This window comes from Homo sapiens, chromosome 13, assembly GCF_000001405.40.
Source record: "Homo sapiens chromosome 13, GRCh38.p14 Primary Assembly".
In the NCBI taxonomy this organism is placed as follows: domain Eukaryota; kingdom Metazoa; phylum Chordata; class Mammalia; order Primates; family Hominidae; genus Homo; species Homo sapiens.
The window spans coordinates 81,843,774-81,867,656 of NC_000013.11; the positions used below are offsets into that span (position 1 = coordinate 81,843,774).

The following is a 23,883-nucleotide window of genomic DNA, read 5'->3' on the forward strand; positions in this document are numbered from 1 at the left end:
AATGCAGTTATTATTTTATTCATAAAAATATATTTTGTGTGCTTAATTTGTTTAGGAGGCTAGTATAAGCACTAGAAACTTATAAGACATATTATCCTTGCTGTCATTAAAAATATGAATCTAAAGAAAACTACCAAACCAAATATTTAATACTTCTGTACTTAAAAAGATGTTATACAAATAGAATAAATATTAGACAACCTAAAAGAAAATATATCATACACACATGCTCACACACACACACATACACACACATACACACATATGTAAGAAGGCATTGCCTATCATGGTGGATCATGCTTGTAAACTCAACCATTTGGAGGGTTGAGGCAGGAGGATCACTTGATGCCCAGAGTTTGAGAACACCCTGAGCAACATAGCAAGGCCCCGTCTCTGCAAAAGATAAAAAAGTGAGATGGGAGTGGGGGTGTGCACCTGTAGTCCCAGTTACTCTGGATGCTAAGCCAGGAGGATCACTTGGGCCCAGGAGTTCAAAGACACTCATCTCAAAAAAAAAAAAAAAGGAAGAAGGAAAAAAGAATATGTTGACTATATCTATAAGACAAAAAGTAGAAGTCTGCAAAGGAAGCCGGGCAAAACATATGAAGAGGTAATATGTAGAAGAGCAACTTGGTTACAAAATATTTAAAAAGGAAGCTCATGCTTTATAAATAAGCAATGCAAATAAGCAAAAACAAAGCGAAGTATATCATTCAAATAATTACAACTAATAATACATAGAAAAGTTTGGAAAATATTTAACAATGATTATATCGACTATCGTGAACAAAAGTTATCACATCAACATTTGAAGTGTAATTTCGCCTTATTCATGTAAAAACACCATGATATTGCAAAGCCAATTCTTAGTATATAACTAAAATAAGTGAGTTAAGCAAAGAATGCATGTACAAGAAAATATTGCAGCTTTGTGGTACAGAGAAAAGAACAAAAACAAAGAGTAAAAAAACAGAATTGGGTGACTCAAAAAGTAAATCGCAACACAGCAATTTAAAAATATACTAGAATATATGGCCTAGAATGAAAAGATAATTTGGTTAGTGCAAAACAACAAATAGGGTGAATTGAATTCCAGACACATATTGAAATAGGATCTCACATACGAATATACATATGCATAAAACCCCATTGTGTATTTTCGTGGAGGCCTATAAAAATTGAATAAATAAATACAGAGACACAGATTGAAATCAAATGCATAAAGCTTTATACAGCCAGAGGACTTTGACCTTATATTCAATGTGTAAATTTGTACAATGAGAATGTAGTCTGGCATTATTTGGGAATTAAATTACTGCACAGAATAGAAAATCATCCCTAAATGTCTTAGAAATAATAATAATATTTTAAAATATGATAGCAGTATCAAATTGCTGGTCTCAAAGAAGAGTACTAGAAAATGAGAGTTTCCAAAGAAAAGTATATTTCATTTAAGTTGGTTCTTATATAAAGTATTAATTAAATAAGTATGATCAAAATATTTGACTGTGGGAATATTTATCTTAATATTTCAAGGGATTTTGGTATAGGGGCTGTTTAACTTTGTGGCTTTAAAATTTCTTATTTTAATTTCTGACTTCACTAGATAATTCCTATCAGTGTGATCTAGAGTAAGGTATTAACTATCTCTATGAGAAAACACAGTACATGAAATAACTTCTACTTAATATGTTTATCATGTGCTTCAAAAGCATTTAACTATGTCAAATGCTTGAAAAAATACCCAAGACACAGTAACAATTCAATAAATGTATGCTGTTTATAATTTCTAAAAATAAAAGTAACATAGAACAGGATATGTATGTACTAACTCAAAAGCAATTCATTTTGATAAAATCATAAGGGTTGTTATTTTTAAGTTTTATCTAAAACAAAAACAGGCATGGTTTTGAAACAATTATATATATAATATATAATTTAATTAATATAATTACATTGGCTCAATATGCCAGTGTAATTTTTGGCATATTGAAATTATATGCAAAGGGAAATGCAAATGTTAATTGAATAAATAGGTACAGAAAAATAGATGGAAATCAAATGGATAAAACTTTATTCAGGCATGACCTGTATGAGGAGGACTTTGGCTTTATATTTGCATTTCCCTTTGCATATAATCTCAATATGCCAAAAATATTATCACTATCTCTGCCTCTGACAATTCACTCACCCACAACCCCACACTGAGGCCTGCACAAAATATACTTCAATGACTGATGCTCATCAAAGATAGGAAGTATTACTTCATTTGTTTATTTCTCAGTAACTCTTTGCAAGTCCTTTAACTACAGGAAAAACACAAAATCGCGGTGGCTCAAATCTTCTACCACTTACTTCGTAACTAAAATATTCGTATCATTTCTCAGTCAGGCAAAAATGACAATAGCAAGATTATTTCTTATGGTGATTAAAACAACAAAAGCAACACTGTAGATTTAATGCACCCATAGTATGTTCACTTAAAAATATCATAATATTATTGCAAAGAATCATGAAAACTTGACTTTATAAACGAAATTTGATCACAATATTTTAATATTCTTCATTAAATCAAGATTTGGAAATCTGACAAATTTCTGTTCAACCAAGAGGCTCACAATAATATCAGCCAAATATTCCTACAGGCAATATACTATCTAAACATAGAAGTAGTTTCTGATATACTAAGCTATATTTCTTAAGGCTGATAGTAATTACAATCATAATGTAACTAAAATTTATATGTAGAAAATTTAATAAGGAGGCTGATGTTTAAAATTAGTTTTGCTTTTCAATTGTCTGCTTTCTGTCACTTTCTAAAACTATAAAAGAAGTTTGGTAGTGCGCAATTTAACAGGCTGTGGGGGGTATACTTAGTTTACAAGTATAATATTTTTCTAGAATATGAATTGGATACTCTGTTTGCAGTTACATACTGGTAACTGTCTGAATGGCATGTGCTATTTTCTTTCAAAATATGCTCATTTTACATATAATTTAGTCAAATAGTTTAAATTTTGCATAGCAGATTGCGTTACATGCATAATTCTTTCTTTTCATTGTTTATGAAATGTTTAAAATACATTTGACTCATTTAAGCTCTCTACTAAATCTATACCTCTTTGTCTTAAATTTGTTCCTTATTTGAGTTTTACATTCTAAGAACCTCAATCGCAATTTAGCACTTATAAAACAGAAAGACTTTGCACTTTTATGGAACTTACAACTCATTTCTGGAAATTATGTTCCATCTGTCACTTCAGCAAATTTCAAGTGTTTCTTTTTATCAGTATTTTAATGCTCTATAATTTAATTTAGAATGATTTCTAAAGATGACTCAAGTTCTTAGTAACTATGAAATCTCTTCTAGTGGAAACAAGTTAAAATACTTAAAATTATTTGTGTTTTATTTTCAACTACTTTCATTAACTAGAGATATCTTTCGCCATCTTGAGAAATACATTTTTAATCATTTAAATGAAAAAATTAACAGATGGGCAATTCCACTTATTGGAAAGACTTTGGATTTAGAAGCAAGAGACATGAGTTCAACTACTGTCTCTGTGATTTCATATTTTTATAGCTTTAGTAAAACTGTATATTCTTTTTTTTTTTTTTTTTTTTTTTTGAGACGGAGTCTCGCTGTCGCCCAGACTGGAGTGCAGTGGCTCGATCTCGGCTCACTGTAGGCTCCGCCCCCGGGGGTTCACGCCATTCTCCTGCCTCAGCCTCCTGCGCAGCTGGGACTACAGGCACCCGCCACCTCGCCCAGCTAATTTTTTGTATTTTTAGTAGAGATGGGGTTTCACCGTGTTAGCCAGGATGGTCTGGATCTCCTGACCTCGTGATCCGCCTGCCTCGGCCTCACAAAGTGCTGGGATTACAGGCGTGAGCCACCGCGCCCGGCCAAAACTGTATATTCTGAATATGTTTCCTTCATTCATAAAGTCAAGTTTGAGATAATTTTATTTTATAGTTATTCAGTCACTATTGGTTGATCTCTACCTATGTACCAATATGCTTCTGACTGCTGAAGACATAGCATTGAAAAGAAAAATCCTTATTCTAAAAATTTTGAAGACATTTGGTTGGGTAAGAGTGAAAAATAAACAAAATTAAAGAGTAAATAAAATTAATAGGTTAGACTCTATCCTTTAGATGATACTTCTTTTGAAAATAATAACAGAAAACAATTATATAGCAATCATTGGATGTGGGGGAGAAATTCAAATTTTTCTGTTTGTTAAGATAAATTATAAGTAAAGTGCCTGTGACCATCTTCTTGGAATTTCTAAAGCAGTATATAAATATTGGTTTTTATGTCAAATATATAACTACATTATACATTCCATAGTTTAACTGTATATATTAATTAATCAATGTTTAAGGACTTTTTTTTACTAGTTTATCTAGGTTAATCACAGGTAGGATCAAAGTAAATTAAAAGTAGCTCATTTTATGTTTTGTTTTGTTTTTCCTTTACCTTCAAGACTTGCAAAATATTGCTTTTTTCTGCAATAGACATAGAAAAAATAACCATATTTAGGCAAATTTTAAAATTCTGAAGTAAAATATCAAGGGATGAAAGATTGAAAAAGACCAAAAGCTAAATCAAGCAAATGAAGAAACTCATAAAAAGCTATATACAGATGCATGATTAAATTGAGAAGAGAAAGTGCCATATCTAAAAAGGAACTAAGAGGCAGATGAACATGACATGTTACACAGAGAAAAGGGATGGAGGAAAATGGGTTGAGAGGCTTGGCATTTTGTTTTTGTATGTATATGCCTCTACAGTTTACAGTATCTATGTTAAGTTCAGTTCTTGAGACACCAATTTCATTGCTAGTAATGAAATAGTAACATTTTCTTTACTAGGAAAACAGTTTCTTTTTATATGGTTTCTTTATATTCTTATGAATTCTTTTTTTTTTTTTTTTGATAAAGAGTCTCACACTGTTGCCCAGGCTGGAGTGCATTGGCACAATCTCGCCTCACTGCAACCTCCGCCTCCCAGGTTCAAGTCATCCTTCTGCTTCAGCCTCCCAAATAGCTGGGATTACAGGTGCGTGCCACCATGCCCAGCTAATTTTTGTATTCTAATGTTTTATATTCTAATGTTTCTATATATGCTTAAAGGTTACTTAACCTTTGAAAATTATTTTCCAGTTGGGAAATGTTTGTGAATGAAATTGCTATAAACTTGCTTCACGTATAAATCATGCCTGATTTATATGAATTTGTTTCAAAATAAGAATATCTAAATTCTGTAATAAGAGATAACTTTTAATTTACACTTCACTATATTTTTATTTTTATTTTTATTTTTCTGTGCCCCACCCCCACCCCTCACAGGCCATTACAGCACCTTTTGTCTTCTTAGCTCTTAGCTCTTGTTTAACTATTTGCAACAATCCAGGCTTGTTTATCTTTTTTGCAACGAACTTCATAGAACATGGCTCTATACTTCAAGAGCATAGAATGTATGCATTTACTTGAAAAAGAAAAAAAAAGAAAATAGTGTAGGTTTATTCTTATCTCAAAATGAGATGTCAAATCACTAAAATATCTAATCCCTTCTTCCAAATGAGAATGGAAATTGACTTCTTTTTGTTAAACCAAGAAAATATTTAATAGAAGTTGACAGTACACTTCCTGTTTTCTATTCTAGACTAGAACTAGGATATTTGATTTCTTCTACTGGAAGGGCAATCAAGAAATTGAGTGTCTGGCAAAAGAAATACCATTTTTCATGACAGACTCAAATAAATTGTGATTTATTCCCCCAAGCTGAGCACTGTCATCACTTTTCCTGAGGTAAAAGGAGTGAAGAGTGGTTTCTGAATAGAAAACAAATAATAGATTTATTGAAGTCATTATTATAACCAAATATAATTTTATCAAAATATCCTTTCATTTTTATATGTTCAGTTACATTGTGAAAATTTTACATATATATATATACACACACACACAGACATATATACATATATATATATACACACACATATATACACACACACACACACACACACACACACACAGAGAGAGAAAAGGAGAGCAGGGAGTCAGTTGGGTGTTATGCTGTTTAAAGCATATCGATTTATGAGTTTATTAATCTATATTGTACTGCAATTGTGGCTGAGTTTCATAGTTTTCTCTGATTATCTGTGTCTCTCCTGTCTTTTTAGTACCATAACCCTTTATGTTGCTGAAAATTTCTAAGATTTCTTTGCCAGCAGATTTCCCTATCTAGCTAAATCTCTGGCAATGACATGTAAAATGATGTGTCCTTATGTAATTCTAGAAAAAAAAAATCCCTAAAATTTGAGGGAAGTGCCCTTATCAGCTATTTTTCCTGTTTTCTTACATGTACAGGTAGAAAATGGAGATCCAGCAGCCATCTTGGCTTATGACATTATTGGAAATATTAGTGTAGAAAGAAAGAGAGAGCCTGGGTCCTGTAAATAAAAGTTCTCTGGAAAGTAATTTAGAGGAAATAGACTTTATTTCAGTTAAGAGCTTGCAAACCAGAGATACACAGCCTGTAAAATAAAGGTACAGTCCAGAAAACAAAGGGAGGATTTCTCTTTTTCAGAAATGATTCTGCCCAGGTGTCCACTCAGGTCTGCTTATGCAAATGAAACATGCAAACTTGCTTAGTTCTGAATGATTGATGCTTGCTGAGTTCTGATTGACCGACACAGATCACAGTCTATTGATTGGTTTAGGTGGTGAGAACAAGAGAAGGCAGCTACGAAAGCCTCAAACTTTAGCAGGCCTGTGGATTTTCTAGGAACTCAAAGTATGAGTGTCACCTCTAGTCAGCAAATGGCCATTTGATTCAAATTTAAATTTAGACTCAGTTAGCCGCTTAGGATGCTTCTTGAAGGATTGGCTCATTCCTGGGTCGCAGTCTTAACACCATGTAGCCATCACAACACAACAAACTGCCTACCTCCGAAATACTTTCATGTGAGAAATAAAAATTTGTATGCTTTTTGATAGAAGTCTAATATTTTATGACTTTATAGCTAAATGCTATCCAATTGATATAAATGTATGAATAGTCTTTCTGTTCTCTTTTTAAATACTATGTCCTTGTAATTTTTGGATGGGTAAAGTTGCTATTCTCTTTTTCTCATTATTAATAAGAATGTTCAAATCTACTTTTCCATTGTCTTATCAACTGTCATCTTTTTTTTAGAGACACATTTATTTTATAGTGTGAAAAATAGTGTATTTTTCTAGAAATGTGATACACAAGATATCTAGCAAAATTCTTGTAACAACAAATATTTAAAATATGTTTGTAATATATAGTTTCACTGGAGATACTTAAACAATGCACTGGATGCCTAAATTTATGAGAAAGAGGGGACAAAGAGATTGGTAATTTCTGAAGTTGGTGTTTGTTCTGGGGACAGCTCATCACTTCTGGGCTGAGAGTAGAATTTAAATGGGGCCTATTATGTATAAGAAAAAAGGACAGTATGTAATTGCAGATTAGAGTTCAACAATTAATTCAGGCTCACCTAACAGTTTAAGTGAATACAAAGAAAATACAGGACTCTCAGAGGGAAAAAGTTACAGTTATTTTTTGCAACCTAGACTGTTCATAGATTGAAATAGAAAGAAGGAAGAGATAAGGAAAACAGAAGGAAGAAGGGAGGAAGGAAAAGAAGGAAAGAAAAGAAAGAAAAAAAAGGATGAGATAAAGGGACAAAAGCAGAATGACACTGGAAAAGAGTTCAGATAGCTCGTACAAACCATTACCCCTTCCCCTACAATAAAGCCATATATATAAAAAATATATATTATATATCATATATAAAATATATTTAATATATATTTTATATATGATATATAATACATTTTATTTTATTTTATTTATTTATTTAGTTTTTTGAGCTGGAGTCTCACTCTCTTGCCCAGGCTGGAGTGCAGAGGCACAATCTCTGCTCACTGCAACCTCTGCCTGCTGGGTTCAAGTGATTATACTGTTTCAACCTGTCTAGTAGCTGAAATTGCAGGCATGTGCCACCACCCCCAGCTAATTTTTGTATTTTTAGTAGAGATGGGGTTTCACCATATTGGCAAGGCTTGTCTCAAACTCCTGACCTTAGGTGACCCACCCAACTTGGCCTCCCAAAGTGCTGGGATTACAGGTGTGAGCCACTGCGCCCGGCCCAACAGATATATTTTAAATTAGTTTTGAGGTGGTAGTATGGAAAGGTCCAAACACATGTAGGAATTTTATTTTAACACAATTCTTACACATTACCATAAAGTTTAAATAATGTCACCTAAGTCAGTACAAAGAAAATTACAAAACTGGATGCACAGAGAGTGAATATATAACAAATATTGGAGAATTTCATATAAAAAGAAAGGGATAGAAGTAAAAAAGAATATCAATATTATCACTAAGAATGACCAATTATTAAAATTTGCTCAGCAGATTTGAAAAAGAGAAAAATATAATATTGTGAAGTGAAACATTTAGTAATTGAGTGCAGGAACTCAATGTGTGAAATACACAGAAAATTTTGTAGACTATAAGACAATATTAGTTGGCTAAGTCAGATTTATTCCTAAAATGCCATCATTGTGCAAGAAACAAAACTCATTCCATGGAATACACCACATTAACTTAGTAAAGGGAAGAAGCAACGATAACAACATATGAACATCTCAAATGATCCAGAAAAACATTTGATAAAAGTCAACAAAATCGAATCATAAATTCGCTCAAAAAACTGGGAATAGAAGGAAACTATGTCGACATGATGAAGGCTGTATGTGACAATTCACAGCCAACATCATACTCAATAATGTAAGACTGGAAGCTTTTTCTCTAAGATTGAAAATGAAACAATTTTGACCATCTTAAATCCTTCTACTCAACATAGCATTGGAATTCCTATCCAGAACAACTAGGCAATTTTAAAAAGCCTTCCAAATTTGAAAGGAAAAAATAAAATTACTTCTGTTCACAGATTACTTTATATTATATATCGTAAAAATACATATAATATTTCATACCCCCTCACAAATACACAAAAGCTTGTCAGAATTAATTTTAAAAATTAGCAAAATTTTGGGATACAAAATAACACTCATATCTGTTGCATTTCTATATGCTAAAAATGAATAATTCTAAAAAGGTAATTGAAACAACAATTCCATTTACGATGGCATCAAAAAGAACAAACTTCTTGGGAATAAACTGAAGGAGGCAATGTACACTGAAAACTTAAAAAACATTGCTGAAAGAATTAAAGAAGACATCAACAAATGAAAAAACAACTTATGTTTATGGATTGAAAGACAAATTTGTTAAAATATCAATACTACCTAAAGTAATCTACAGATTCAGTCCATTATCTATTGTAATCCCAATTATAAATTGCTAGATGAGCCTGCAATAATTGTCAGACTCTAATCTGCATTTGCACATTGTCTTTTTTTTCTTCTACATAATAGGCCCTATTTAAATTCTGCTTTCAGCCCCAGTCTCAATTGCACTTTCTTTGCAGAAATTTAAAAAAAAATTACTCTAAAATTGATGTGGAACCTCAAGCAACCCCAAATAGACAAAATAATCTTGAAAAAGGACAATCAGAACAATCATGTTTTCTGATTTTGAGACTTACTTTAAAGCTACAGATATCAAAACAGTGTCATATTAGCATAAAAAGACAGGCATATAGACCAATGGAACAAGATAGCCCAGAAATAAGCCCTCACATATGTGTTCAAATGATTTTTAACAGGGTACCAAGATGACTCAGTGTGCAAAAAACAGTATTTTCAACAAATGGTATTGGGAAAACTGGATAGTCATATGCAAAAGAGTAAAGTTGGACTCAGGTTACTCCATATATAAAAACTAACTCATATGCATCAAAGCCCTAAACATACAAACTAAAACTATAACATTCTCAGAAGAAAATATGGGAAAAGTTTTGTGACACTGAATTTGCCAATTATTTTTTAGATATGACACCATGAACACAGGCAACATAATAAAACAATAATAAATTAGACTATATCAAAATTTAAAACTCTTGTATATCAAAGGATGCTAACAGCATAAAGTAAACACAACCTATGGTTTGGGAGAAAATATTTCCAAATCATGTATCTAGTAAGGGATTAACATTCAGAATATATAAAGAAATCCTAAAACTCAAGAACAACCCCAACAATTTCAAAATGGGCAAAGGAATACACACACACACACACACACACACACACACACACATAATGCGTTTCTGTGAGTAAACTGAGAGATTCACATGAAGAAATCATGAAAAAATGCAACATGAAAGAAAGGTTTAGAAATAAGAAATAGAAAAAAACCTTTTTTACATTGGTTTCTAATAGAAGATAATAAAAAGAGTGGAAGAGAAATGAACTTTCATGGAAACCTTTTTTTTAATTATTATTTTTATTTTTTTGAGATGAAGTCTCGCTCTGTGGCCCAGGCTGGAGTGCAGTGGGGTGATCTTGGCTCACTGCAAACTCCGCCTCCCAGGTTCAAGCAATTCTCCTGCCTCAGCCTCCTGCGTAGTTGGAATTACAAGCGCCCGCCTAATTTTTGTATTTCTAGTAGAGATGGGGTTTTGCCATGTTGGCCAGGTTGGTCTCCAACTCCTGACCACAGGTGATCTGCCCACCTTGGCCTCCCAAAATGCTGGAATTACAGGTGTGAGCCACCGCGGCTGCCCAAGAACCCTTTATAATTGACCATTCTTCTGGGCATTACTCTTGCAGTAAATGAATACCTAGCTTCTTGTTTACGGTAGCAGCTTCTTGCCTTCAGAAGTGAAGAATTGAGAGGAACATGAATGCATTCATCGGATCACCAGCTTCCCAATGACATTGCTAAAATTCCTTTGATTTAGTAATATTTGCTGAATATGTTTTTCTTATATTTCATAAACCTTCTTTGTAATCATTTAGTCAATTAAATGTGAATATATGCTTTCGAGTATCATGTTGCTCTATTTGCTTTCAGTATATTTGAGTGCGAATTATTGCATTTACTTATGCTGATAATTCTTCTCTAACTTGCAATTGTGCTTTCCAATTGTTAATTTTTTGTTCAACTTTATCCTATATGCTTTTGGGTACAAAAACACCTGTATGCAAGAATTTTGAAGATGTTTTTGTTAGGGATTAAGGGCTACACACTAATTGGGCTATATTTTATTTTAAATGTTAAGTTGTATTTTCTCGTAGCAAAGATAAAATATTATTTCAGAAATCAACCTTATACTTCGCACCGGTTTGAGATTTCAATTTTCTGTAGTTTTTTCTGTCTACCTTGACAGTTGGAAAATAGCAAGCCTTGGGCTGCAGTCCTGGCCATTGTCCTTTTATCTCCCAACCCCCTTATTTACTCTGGAAAATACGTCAGTGCTCCAGTGTTGCACACAGTGTATGTTAGTTGTAGCTCTCTAACACCCATTACATAAGTTCTAAAAATCTTAGGTCAAGGAGGCTTTAAAATCCTAATGTTTACCTCCAATCAGTTATATCTGTATCTAATACTCCTGTGGTCCAGAAAGACTTAGATTTTTTTTTTTTTTTTTTTTTTTTTTTTTTTTTTTTACTAATGTGGCACAGCGTTCTTTTATATTTTTTGCCACAGAGGTTTCCATTTCTTTGTTTTGTGCTTGACATATATGTTGAAGTTTCAGGATATTTTCTATAACTGTGTGTATTTGTAGTAGAAAAGGGACACTTCTACATCAGCCTCGTTTGCCATTATTTCCTAAAGTCCTTATAATGCCTTCCGTAATACGTGTGGGTACACAGTATTATAGTAGAACAGGATGGAATGAATCTACCTCATTATGCCTGAGATGGTAATGAAAAATCTTATAAGTGATATGATAAATAATAAGTAGATGTTTAATGTAGTTAAAGCATACCAGACAATGGGGATAGGAAGTGAAATAATTTAATGACAGAAAGAAAGCCATTTAGCATAACGCAGATAGTTAACAATTTCTAAAGTTATGGATGAATATGCAGGAGTTTTATTAATATAAACTCATAGATTTGTGAGTATAAACTATCTTGGGTCATTCCAGACTAATTTCTTATTGCTCAGATGTGCTCTGTATTCCTGTATCTCTAAACATTTTTATATTTGGAATACATTTTCTCCACTACTACCATCACATTCTACCCATGAATCACAAGCTGCATCTCCAGCATTAAGATCTTCTTAACTCTTCATCCTCTCTCCCTGTTGTTTTCTCTCCTTCTGTTCATATTTTTAAAAATATTTCTGCATTTGTTTTTTGATGTTTTTAAAATAGGATGACACTGCTATATTTCACTTTATTTAATTCTCAGAAAACCCAAAATAAATCATTATCAATCCCCTACCTTTAACAAATAAGACAAATACTTATCTTTCCAACTATTTTGCAATAATTAGGTAGCAGAGCAAAGATTAGAACTAACACTTCTTAACTTCTTCTAAAACGTCTCTGCTTGAGGACCAAAGAACCTGTCTTTTTCGTTTTTTTTGGGGGGCATGGTTCCTGACATGAGGAGTCTCACATTAAGTCAGAGTTCATTAAATGCTTGTTGAATTTAATTGACTCAGCTCTTTTCTAATCCACTCCCTACCTCAAAGTCTAAAGAAGAATTGCCTTTTCCAGGCTGGCACATTGGGCCTTCCTATAAAAAGCAGCGGCTATTGCCGTTTCTCCAGGAAGATATGAATAATGACTTCAATTTTATGGCTATCAATAGCAGAAAATTAGTGACCGAAAGGCTAATACAGAGTAGAAATCTGAGGATGGTTAGCAACTAAAACAGCTGTGTCTCACCATCTTCTCTGTTAACATTCTCTAAAAAAAAAAAAAAAAAAAAAAAAAAAGTGTTTTTCTTCTCTCTAGTCACTAGCACCATAGTGGAACCAGTAAGAGCCTTCTGTATGTACTGTCAATCATTGTCTCTTATTTACAAAAAATGCTATATGATTTCTAAGTTAAAATGCTTCATAAGCCATAACATTCAATACAAATATGTCTGTTCTATTATTATTATTACTATTACTACTACTATTAATGTATTAATAATATAATGAGTAATTGTTTGGTAAAGCAAAAATTAAGCAAGTGTGGAACAGCCTTAGAACTATAGCTTTGAATATTTTTTACAATCACGCATTCACATTAGCAGCTGCTGCTAAATTAACTGTGTGAAACAGCATTTATTCAGACAGTTTGCCTAGTTTTATGAAGTATCATTTAGCAAAGAGACTCAAAAATAAATTACATTTTTATCTTCAATTCTCCTTAAAGTTGGTAACTTGATTGTTCTTATACATGTCATAACATCTACACCTAAAATTATGCTGTTTATTACTAACAACACAAAGATGACATTGCTTGGGCTAAATTGTTGAAATCCTCAGTTAGCATTATTGAAGATAACTTTAAGGATCCTTCTGTAATCAGATTTCTTGTAACTCTAATTGGAATATGCCTGATCTAGTGTAGTTGTTAGTATTTAAACAAATGATTAGTTGCATAAATTTGAATTAAAACAAATAGTGATTTCTCCATAAAAATTAAAATTGAAAGAAAATAATACCAAGGATAACTTATGGAGTTATCTACAGGACAGTAAGAACTGACATACAATGAAGATCTCTTTTTTATGAGTTGAAATTTATTAATTATGTTACTGTTTACATTAGTAATTACAGTTAAAACCTGATATTTTTATAAATAAAATTTTCTGTTGCAAAATAAATTATAAGTGATTTATTAAAATATACCTATTCATATGTTAGCCCCCCTCTTTTTTGTGCTTATGAGAGAAGATACAGTGAAGAAAGGCAGAGATTCCTCAGGCATGTGATCTATTCAACTGCATTCACATGGACGCTACTTCTAAAATACTCACGATTTTAAAAATCGCGATTGATTTTATAAATTAGAAAATTCAGTGCTAAAAGGGCAGAATTTTATAAGGAAATGCCAGTCATCTCTATTACAAGATTCCATAATTTTGGTAATATAGCCTGCCTTTAAGTGACCCTCTTTTATATTTTCTGAACTTAATATATAGGTTACTTCTTTGGGTTAAGTCCAACAAAGCCAAGTTAAAAAGCAAATGTTCTCTATAAAGAAACATAAAAGCTATTATGATCATTTAAAACGTACCTTTGAATAATTTATGTTTGATCATAGTGGTTGAGCTTGAAATGAGAAAGAATATGAAACAGCAAGCTTTAATATAGTATAATAATTTTGGAGAATAACTATGGAGAAGTTAGTGGATGTACCAAAGACATATTAAAGACATTAGAATCTTGATATTCTTGTTCAAATTTGATCATTTCTAGCTATAGAAAACAAATTATGCATACTTCTCAATTTTACTTAAACTAGGTCCTTAAGAAAAACACATAAGAATTAGTGCTGTATGTGGAGTAAATATGGAGATTAACTTAATCCAAACTATAGTTGAGCCACTGAAAGTAAGAACTACACATTAACCTAGGATTCAAATACTAGGGAATGCCTTATTAACTGTGTTTATCTTGAGCAAACTGGAAATAACTCTTTCTACCTTTGTTTCCTAATCTATTGAGTGAGTATAATAATTCCTACCTTAAAGGTTATTATAAAAATTCCAGGAGCTTATGCAGGTAAGACACTTAAACCAATGTTTAGCTTGTCTTGAACAGTAAGGATCAACTATTGCCATGGATGTATGGTTGAAACCTAGGATTCTTCAAAGCCAGCAATGTGTTCATGTTGTCCCTTCACTGAAATAACATTCTAAAAATTGGAAATATTCTTACACCTATGTCTCTTATGTTATTTACTCTCACTAACATCACTTTATTACACAATTCAATTATCTGTAAAATACTACATTTAACCATATTAAATTGCCAATATTTGACAATTGTTCATCCTCAGAAAAGACAGTTTAAAATGACTCAATCTATTAATCGCCCTTAATTTTTCACTTTTCTTTTGACTCCCTGCTTCCCTCCCTGTTCCATCTATCTACTGTGCTGCAGCAAAATTAATATTCTAAAATATAATTTTGTAGTCTGACAGCTCTCAGAAATTCTTAGGATTCCACTGATACTTTATTTTTTTAAATTCAAATGTGGAACAAGATTCCCTGTAATTTTTCCCCAAAGGTAAATTTTCAAATAATATCTCAAAGATCATTAAACATGCTCCTTTGGCTCTGGGTGGCACAGTTGCTGCTACCCATATAGATGAGCCTACACTTTTCCTGTAACTGGGGGATCCTTAGGAGACTTCATTCATCTCAGGAATCCAGTAGTTGTGATTACAGTGCCCCAACTCCAATTCAAAACAGGACATTTTTTTTTTTTTTAAAAAGAGGATTTTGGTTTACACTATCTTTTGTTAAGCAACATTTTTCAGTTACTTCTGTGTTGTCTTTCCTCCTACTGATTTAACAAATCACTTGTCATTGTAAGCTGTGAGAAAAGCTATTTAGAGGGACAGTTACGCAAAGTGTACCTTTGCCTAAGACTTAGGGATGAACACTCTCAGAAATGTTCACCAATATTTCTCAAAATCTTGTCCCAAGGACACACTTGGGACTGTTTAGCCCCTCATCAACTCTTGACCATTATATCAACTTGATAGATAATATAGATATTAAATTGATACCAATTCTACACATTTCATATCTAAATAGAATATGTATTCGTCCTATGACAAAAGGCTGCTGGCATTTTACTTGAGGGACTGATACACAGAGTGGGAAATGAATATTAGAAACCTGTGACGGTACCTAAAGGGGTAATAAGACACAGAAAAACTATCAAAGGGAGCTAGGTTTCAGCTTCCTGTATTGAGCTTCTATTCTCCAACACTGACTCTATTACTATGAATAATTTTAGGCTTGCTAATGGCTTCTATTCTCTGAATATGCTAATGTTCTTCTCAGTTTCAGATCTTTTAATCTTCATAGTCTTCCATTTAAAATTTCTTCTTGTAACATTCAAATCTTACTCTTTATTGAGGCTAATAGTGATAGTTTCCTTTGAAACCTTCACTCGGCAGTAGAACATAGTATAAGATGAGGGGGTGCAATTTTTTTCAATTTTCCCAATATAGTCCTGGTTTGAGTCTGTGGCCCCAGAAATTATTAATAGCACCCCTTTTCATATTCACAAATTTTCTGTTTTGGATGATAAATTAAATAATGACAACGAAAAATAATATTGATGTAGCAGTAATGTTTGTTATTCATGAAGTTTGTATAAATTTGAAGCTCCCACAATTTCATTATTTTTAAGCATACAATGAAATGACATGAATTTTAAAGTATTAGTAAATAAGTAATATTTCAGGTGCCTCATAATTAATCTCTCTGAAATAATTACATGTTTTTGTTTTATAATTCCAATTCACACATCTCATACTGTATATTATATGTATATATTTTTAACTTAAAAGCTTTTAACTAATTTAAGACATATTATCTCTTCTGTGCCTTTTTCAGAATTTAATCTGCTACAAATATAATGTGATGTATGAACAGAAAAATATTGTTTAATAAAATTGTGAATGGAAACATTTGCTTTAATGACTTTTTCTTTTTATTTTGTAAAACTGATAACCAATAATAAAAGTGGAGATTGTAGGGATACAAAAATATTAGCAATCCAACTCCAATTGTTTTGTTATGTTAAAAAATAATTATCTAGTAAATAAAACACAACCTTGTCAACCCAACAAAGCAATAACTTTAGGTGATAATCATTATATAGAACACAAATAGGCAAGCACTAAATTCAGAGCCACTTTTCACCTTGAAGCAAATCACAAGTGGTGGTCAAGAATCTGAGACAGGGACGCCCTCTCTCACCACTCCTATTCAACATAGTGTTGGAAGTTCTGGCCAGGCAATCAGGCAAGAGACAGAAATAAAGGGTATTCAATTAGGAAAAGAAGAAGTCAAATTGTCCCTGTTTGCAGATGACATGATTGTATATTTAGAAAACCCCATCGTCTCAGCCCAAAATCTCCTTAAGCTGATAAGCAACTTCAGGAATGTATCAGGATACAAAATCAATGTGCAAAAATCACAAGCATTCTTATACACCAATAACAGACAAACAGAGAGCCAAATCATGAGTGAACTCCCATTCACAATTGCTTCAAAGAGAATAAAATACCTGGGAATCCAACTTACAATGGATGTGAAGAACCTCTTCAAGGAGAACTACAAACCACTGCTCAACAAAATAAAAGAGGACACAAACAAATGGAAGAACATTCCATGCTCATGGATAGGGATAATCAATATCGTGAAAATGGCCATACTGCCCAAGGTAATTTATAGATTCAATGCCATCCCCATCAAGCTACCAATGACTTTCTTCACAGAATTGGAAAACACTACTTTAAAGTTCATATGGAACCAAAAAAGAGCCCATGTCACCAAGTCAATCCTAAGCCAAAAGAATAATGCTAGAGGCATCACGCTACCTGACTTCAAACCATACTACAAGGCTACAGTAACCAAAACAGCATGGTACTGCTACCAAAACAGAGATATAGACCAATGGAACTGAACAGAGCCCTGAGAAATAATACCACGCATCTACAACTATCTGATCTTTGACAAACCGATAAAAACAAGCAATGAGGAAAGGACTCCCTATTTAATAAATGGTGCTGGGAAAACTAGCTAGCCATATGTAGAAAGCTGAAACTGGATCCCTTCCTTACACCTTCTACAAAAATTAATTCAAGATGGATTAAAGACTTAAATGTTACACCTAAAACCAAAAAACCCTAGAAGAAAACCTAGGCAATACCATTCAGGACATAGGCATGGGCAAGGACTTCATGTCTAAAACACCAAAAGCAATGGCAACAAAAGCCAAAATTGACAAATGGGATCTAATTAAACTAAAGAGCTTCTGCACAGCAAAAGAAACTACCATTAGAGTGAACAGGCAACCTACAGAATGGGAGAACATTTTTGCAACCTACTCATCTGACAAAGGGCTAATATCCAGAATCTACAAAGAACTCAAACAAATTTACAAGAAAAAAACAACCCCATCAAAAAGTGGGCAAAGGATATGAACAGACACTTCTCAAAAGAAGACATTTATGCAGCCAATAGACACATGAAAAAATGCTCATCATCACTGGCTATCAGAGAAACGCAAATCAAAACCACAATGAGATACCATCTCACACCAGTTAGAATGGCAATCATTAAAAAGTCAGGAAACAACAGGTGCTGGAGAGGATGTGGAGAAATAGGAACACTTTTACACTGTTGGTGGGACTGTAAACTGTTTCAACCATTGTGGAAGACAGTGTGGCGATTCCTCAAGGATCTAGAACTAGAAATACCATTTGACCCAGCCATCCCATTACTGGGTATATACCCAAAGGATTATAAATCTTGATGCTATAAAGACACATGCACACATCTGTTTATTGCAGCACTATTCACAATAGCGAAGACTTGGAACCAGCCCAAATGTCCATCAATGATAGACTGGATTAAGAAAATGTGGCACATATACACCATGGAATACTATGCAGCCATAAAAAATGATGAGTTCATGTCCTTTGTAGGGACATGGATGAAGCTGGAAACCTTCATTCTCAGCAAACTATTGCACGGACAAAAAACCAAACACCGCATGTTCTCACTCATAGGTGGGAATTGAACAATGAGAACACTTGGACACAGGAAGGGCAACATCACACACCGGGGACTGTTGTGGGGTGGGGGGAGGGGAAAGGGATAGCATTAGGAGATATACCTAATGTAAATGATCAGTTAATGGGTGCAGCACACCAACATGGAACATGTATATATATGTAACAAACCTGCATGTTGTGCACATGTACCCTAGAACTTAAAGCATAATAAAAAAATTAAAAAAAAAAAAATAAAGGCCAAAAAAAAAAAAAAGAATCTGAGAAACATAACAGTGCTTTGCAGGGAAGACAGAAATCATAATTCTTGTAACAATATCAAGAGTCTGTGGGCAGGGAGTGGTGGCTCACACCTCTAATCCCAGCACTTTGGGAGGCTGAGTTAAGTGGATCATCTGAGATCAGGAGTTCGAGACCAGCCTGGCCAACACGGTGCAACCCCGTCTCTAGTAAAAATACAAAAAAAAAAAAAAAATTAGCCGGGCGTGATGGCGGGTGCCTGTAGTCCCAGCTACTCGGGAGACTGAGGCAGGAGAATGGCGTGAACCTCGGAGCCAGAGCTTGCAGTGAGCCGAGATAGCATCACTGCACTCCAGCCTCAGCAAAAACATGAGACTCTGTGTCAAAAAAAAAAAAAATTGTAAGTCTGTGGGCTACTTAGGCTTTCAGTTGCAATCTACAACGCTAAAGGGTAAAAGTAAAGGCAACTGTAAATGGATCCGGTCTTATAAATGATAATCTTGATACTCAAATTAACTTAATCTCTGACCAAATGATTGTTATTTACCCCCAGCCTAAGTAGCTTTGTGATTCTGAGAATCTGGGGAAAGCTCTCAGTAATTTCAAGAGTCTCAGGTAATAAAAATTGGGGTTTGGGACATTTTAGTTTCAACTATGACAAAAGAGCTAGCATTAGATAAACAATTGTATGCCAAACTACTGTGAAACCTCAATAATATGGGAAACAACTTTTTGAGGGGTTCAGCGAAAAAGCAGGACATTATGACTTTGGTGTCTAGAAGTCTGAGAGAGAATGGTTGAGCACCACAGTGACCCACATTCCATTCCATCCTTTTTACATAGGCTTTTTCCAATGTGTAGTTCAGTGAATAAAAGACAAACAGAAAGTGATGAAACCTGCTGCCATCTCATAGGGAGTTGATATATGGGTTGGAGTTCAGAACTCCCAAGGAAACTAAAACTTAAAGGGGAAGAGAGAACTCCAGAAAAGTATGACTAAAATTCTGAATGCAATTTTACTTTCAAGCCTTTCTAGTGCCTATGCTAAAGGTGTGTAAGATAAGACTCTATGAAAGCTAGCTAACCAACACCTCTTGGAGGCTAAACTCCGACAAAGATTTCAGCAGTTTTGTCATTCTGAGAAGGCAGAATTTGGAATTCAAGTATGAGTAAATGGCAGGAATCCTAGTAATACCAGAAACTTACTTTCACAGGAGAACCGAAAAAATTCTCTGGAAGAATAGAGGTTTCCAAAGGTAGGAAAAAATCAACAGAAGTAAATCTGAACAAAGTACAAAAACCATGTTCACCTGTACGTGAAAACATCTTTGCAAAAATTATAACTAAGAAAATCATGACAGTGAAAGAGATCTAACCTAACCAACTCCATCTTGCTTGTAACCTTCAAGCTGTCCTTGTTCATTCCTCGGCTTAGGCCAAACTAACTTTGGGAGGAACTTAATTTATAGTTTAACTTCAAAATAAAGATGATTACAGCCCTTTCCCCAAATAAAACCCTTTCTGCCTGGGGACTAGACTGCCTTTGCCGGACCAACAAATTAACCATGAGATTAGAAATCATGGTTTAGGAGTCATGTAGCTGGATTCCTTGACTGTCCAGCTGTCCAGACTGGAGGCTGCAAAATTCTCAATATCTAAATTGCTCCAGGGGATAACATCACCATTGAGAAACTCAAAATTGGCGATGGAATATTTTGCAGACCCTGTACTTGATGGATCAGCTGGCATCACCCAGATTGATAAATGGTCTCATCAGGTCTTGTGCCCCCCCCACCCAGGAACTGACTCCATGTAAGAGGACAGCTTCGACTCCCTGTGATTTCATCTCTGACCCAACCGGTTAGCACTCCTTACTCACTGGCCCCCTACCTACCAAATTATCCTTAAAGACGCCAATCCCCAAATTCTCAGGGAAGCTGCTTTGAGTAATAATAAAACTCCAGTCTCCCATGTGGCTGGCTCTGCATGAATTACTCTTTCTCTATTGCAATTCCCCTGTCTTGATAAACTGGCTCTGTGTAGGCAGTGGGCAAGGAGAACCTATTGGGTGGTTACACATCAAGATGGATTTCTAATAGTCTATCATACTACTATAACCTGAGCATTAATAATTTTTCACATATAAACTATAGCAGTCAATTGAAGATCACGAGAAATGACCAAGTGATAGATTATCAAAGAAATAAACATAATTAAAACAAACAAAGCAAAAACAAAGCAACCAAGGTAATCCAAATTTTAGATATATCAAAGGGTTTTTAAAATACCAACATGTTCAACGAAATATAGGAAATGATGAAGAAGTCCCAATGAAAATGAAAATCTATATGAAAGAGTCAAATGAAAAATCTAGAACTGAAAATATAAGATTTAAAATGTAATGTATTGATTTAATAAGAGATTTGACATAACAGAAGAGAGGATTGGTGAGAGTAAGAGAGTCATTATAATATACTAAAACTGAAGTATATAAACATAAAAGAAATACAATTCAGAAACATGATATTAAATACATATTTTAAATAAAGGTGTAATGTGCATATAATTGAAATTCTGGAAGGCAAGGACACAGAGAATGACTCAAAAGCATTGTAGGAAATAACAAATTTTTGAAAATTATGAAAGCCATGATTCACTAATTTTTAAAACTTATTGAAACTCAAATAGGAAAAGTATGGAAAAATGACATTAGAACATTGATAAAAATCAGAGAAATAGGAAAAGGAAGAAAAATGATACCAATGAGTAACTTTACAACAAAAATAATGGAAGCCAGGAGAAAAATGAAATGATGTTTTTAAAATGCTGACAAAAAGAAGCCAGAAAAACAAAATCTTGACAGCTAGAAATCTATAGCCAGGGAAAATGCACTTTAAAGTATAAGTGAAATAATGACATTTTACATAAACTAAATATGATAGAAATTATTTCCAGGAAACATGCATTAAAAATGAAAGTGAAATATTTCATCAGGCAAAAGGAAATGATCCCATCTGGAAATGCAATAATTTGTGAAAGAAGAAAAAAAAATGTAATTTGTAATTGTGGGTAATTCTAAATGAATATGGTCAGCTTAAATAAAAAATTATTAACCTATTTAACATTCAGAATTTACATAACAGTAGAACAAAGAATAAAATATAATCATTGATTTGCATGTATTGAAAGGAAAGTACATATAGAAAAATAAATAAACATAATTCTAAGGAAGATTTCCATAAGTCATATATGAGCATTGTAATTCTAGAACAAATGAATAAAATAAAATAAATATGAAACAAGAAAATAAATGGAAAGATTCATGAATAAAAACATGCTGGACTAATCTACAAGAAGTATGTCAGGCCTCTGAGCCCAAGCTAAGCCATCATATCCCCTGTGACATGCACGTATACATCCAGATGGCTGGTTCCTGCCTTAACTGATGACATTCTACCACAAAAGAAATGAAAATGGCCTGTTCCTGCCTTAACTGATGACACTATCTTGTGAAATTCCTTCTCCTGGCTCATCCTGGCTCAAAAGCTCCCCTTCTGAGCACCTTGTGACCCCCACTCCTGCCCGCCAGAGAACAACCCCCCTTTGACTGTAATTTTCCTTTACCTACCCAAATCTTATAAAATGGCCCCAACCCTATCTCCCTTCACTGACTCTCTTTTTGGACTCAGCCCACCTGCACCCAGGTGATTAAAAGCTTTATTGCTCACACAAAGCCTGTTTGGTGGTCTCTTCACATGGATGTGCATGAAATTTGGTGCCGTGACTCGGATTTGGGGACCTCCCTTGGGAGATCAATCCCCTGTCCTCTTGCTCTTTGCTCTGTGAAAAAGATCCACCTATGACCTCGGGTCCTCAGACCCACCAGCCCAAAGAACATCTCACCAATTTTAAATCAGGTAAGCGGCCTCTTCTTACTCTCTTCTCCAACCTTTCTCACTATCCCTCAACCACTTTCTCCTTTCAATCCTGGCGCCACCCTTCAATCTCTCCCTTCTCTTAATTTCAATTCCTTTCATTTTCTGGTAGAGACAAAGGAGACGCATTTTATCCATGGACCCAAAACTCCAGCACCGGTCACGGACTTGGGAAGGCAGCCTTCCCTTGGTGTTTAATCATTGCAAGGACGCCTCTCTGATTATTCACCCACGTTTCAGAGGTGTCTGACCACGCGGGGACGCCTGCCTTGGTCCTTCACCCTTAGCGGCAAGTCCCGCTTTTCTGGGGGAGGGGCAAGAACCCCGACCCCTTCTGTCTGGGTCTCTACCCCTTTTCTGCTTTTTTGGGTGGCAAGAACCCCCCAACCCCTTCTCCTTCACCCTTAGCAGCAAGTAACACTTTTCTAGGGGGCAAGAACCCCGTTCCCTTATTTCCATGCCCCGACCTCTTATCTCTATACCCCAATCCCTTATTTCTGCACCCTGACCTCTTATCTTTGTGCCCCGATCCCTTATTTCCACACCCTGACCCCTTATTTCTGTGCCCCAACCTCTTATCTCTGCACCCCAAACTCTTATCTCTGTGCCCCAACCCCTTATTTCCACATCCTGACCCCTTTCCCGCTTTTCTGGAGGGTAAGAACCCCCGAACCCCTTCCCTCCATGTCTCTCTCTTTTCTCTGGGCTTGCCTCCTTCACTATAGGCAACTTTCCACCCTCTATTCCTCCTTCTTCTCCCTTAGCCTGTGTTCCCAAGAACTTAAAACCTCTTCAATTCACACCTGACCTAAAACCTAAATGCCTTATCTTCTTCTGCAACACTGCTTGGCCCCAATACAAACTTGACAATGGCTCTCCATGGCCAGAAAATGGCACTTTCGATTTCTCCATCCTACAAGACCTAAAAAATTCTTGTCATAAAATGGGCAAACGGTCTGAGGTGCCTGATGTCCAGGCATTCTATT

The 23,883-nt window shown here is 34.4% G+C and overlaps 1 long non-coding RNA gene across 2 annotated transcripts in view; it reads left to right on the forward strand.

Annotated features, from left to right (window-relative positions):
* LOC105370284 (uncharacterized) overlaps positions 1–5,065 on the forward strand; it is a 43,873-nt gene extending 38,808 nt beyond the window's left edge. Inside the window, exon 3 of one of the 2 annotated variants that reach the window (XR_001750061.1) lies at positions 4,948–4,976. This is a non-coding gene — a long non-coding RNA (uncharacterized LOC105370284). Of the gene's footprint in view, positions 1–4,947 lie in introns of both variants that reach the window. The other variant, XR_942127.3, reaches the window with a different exon arrangement.
* The last annotated feature ends 18,818 nt before the right edge of the window (positions 5,066–23,883 follow it).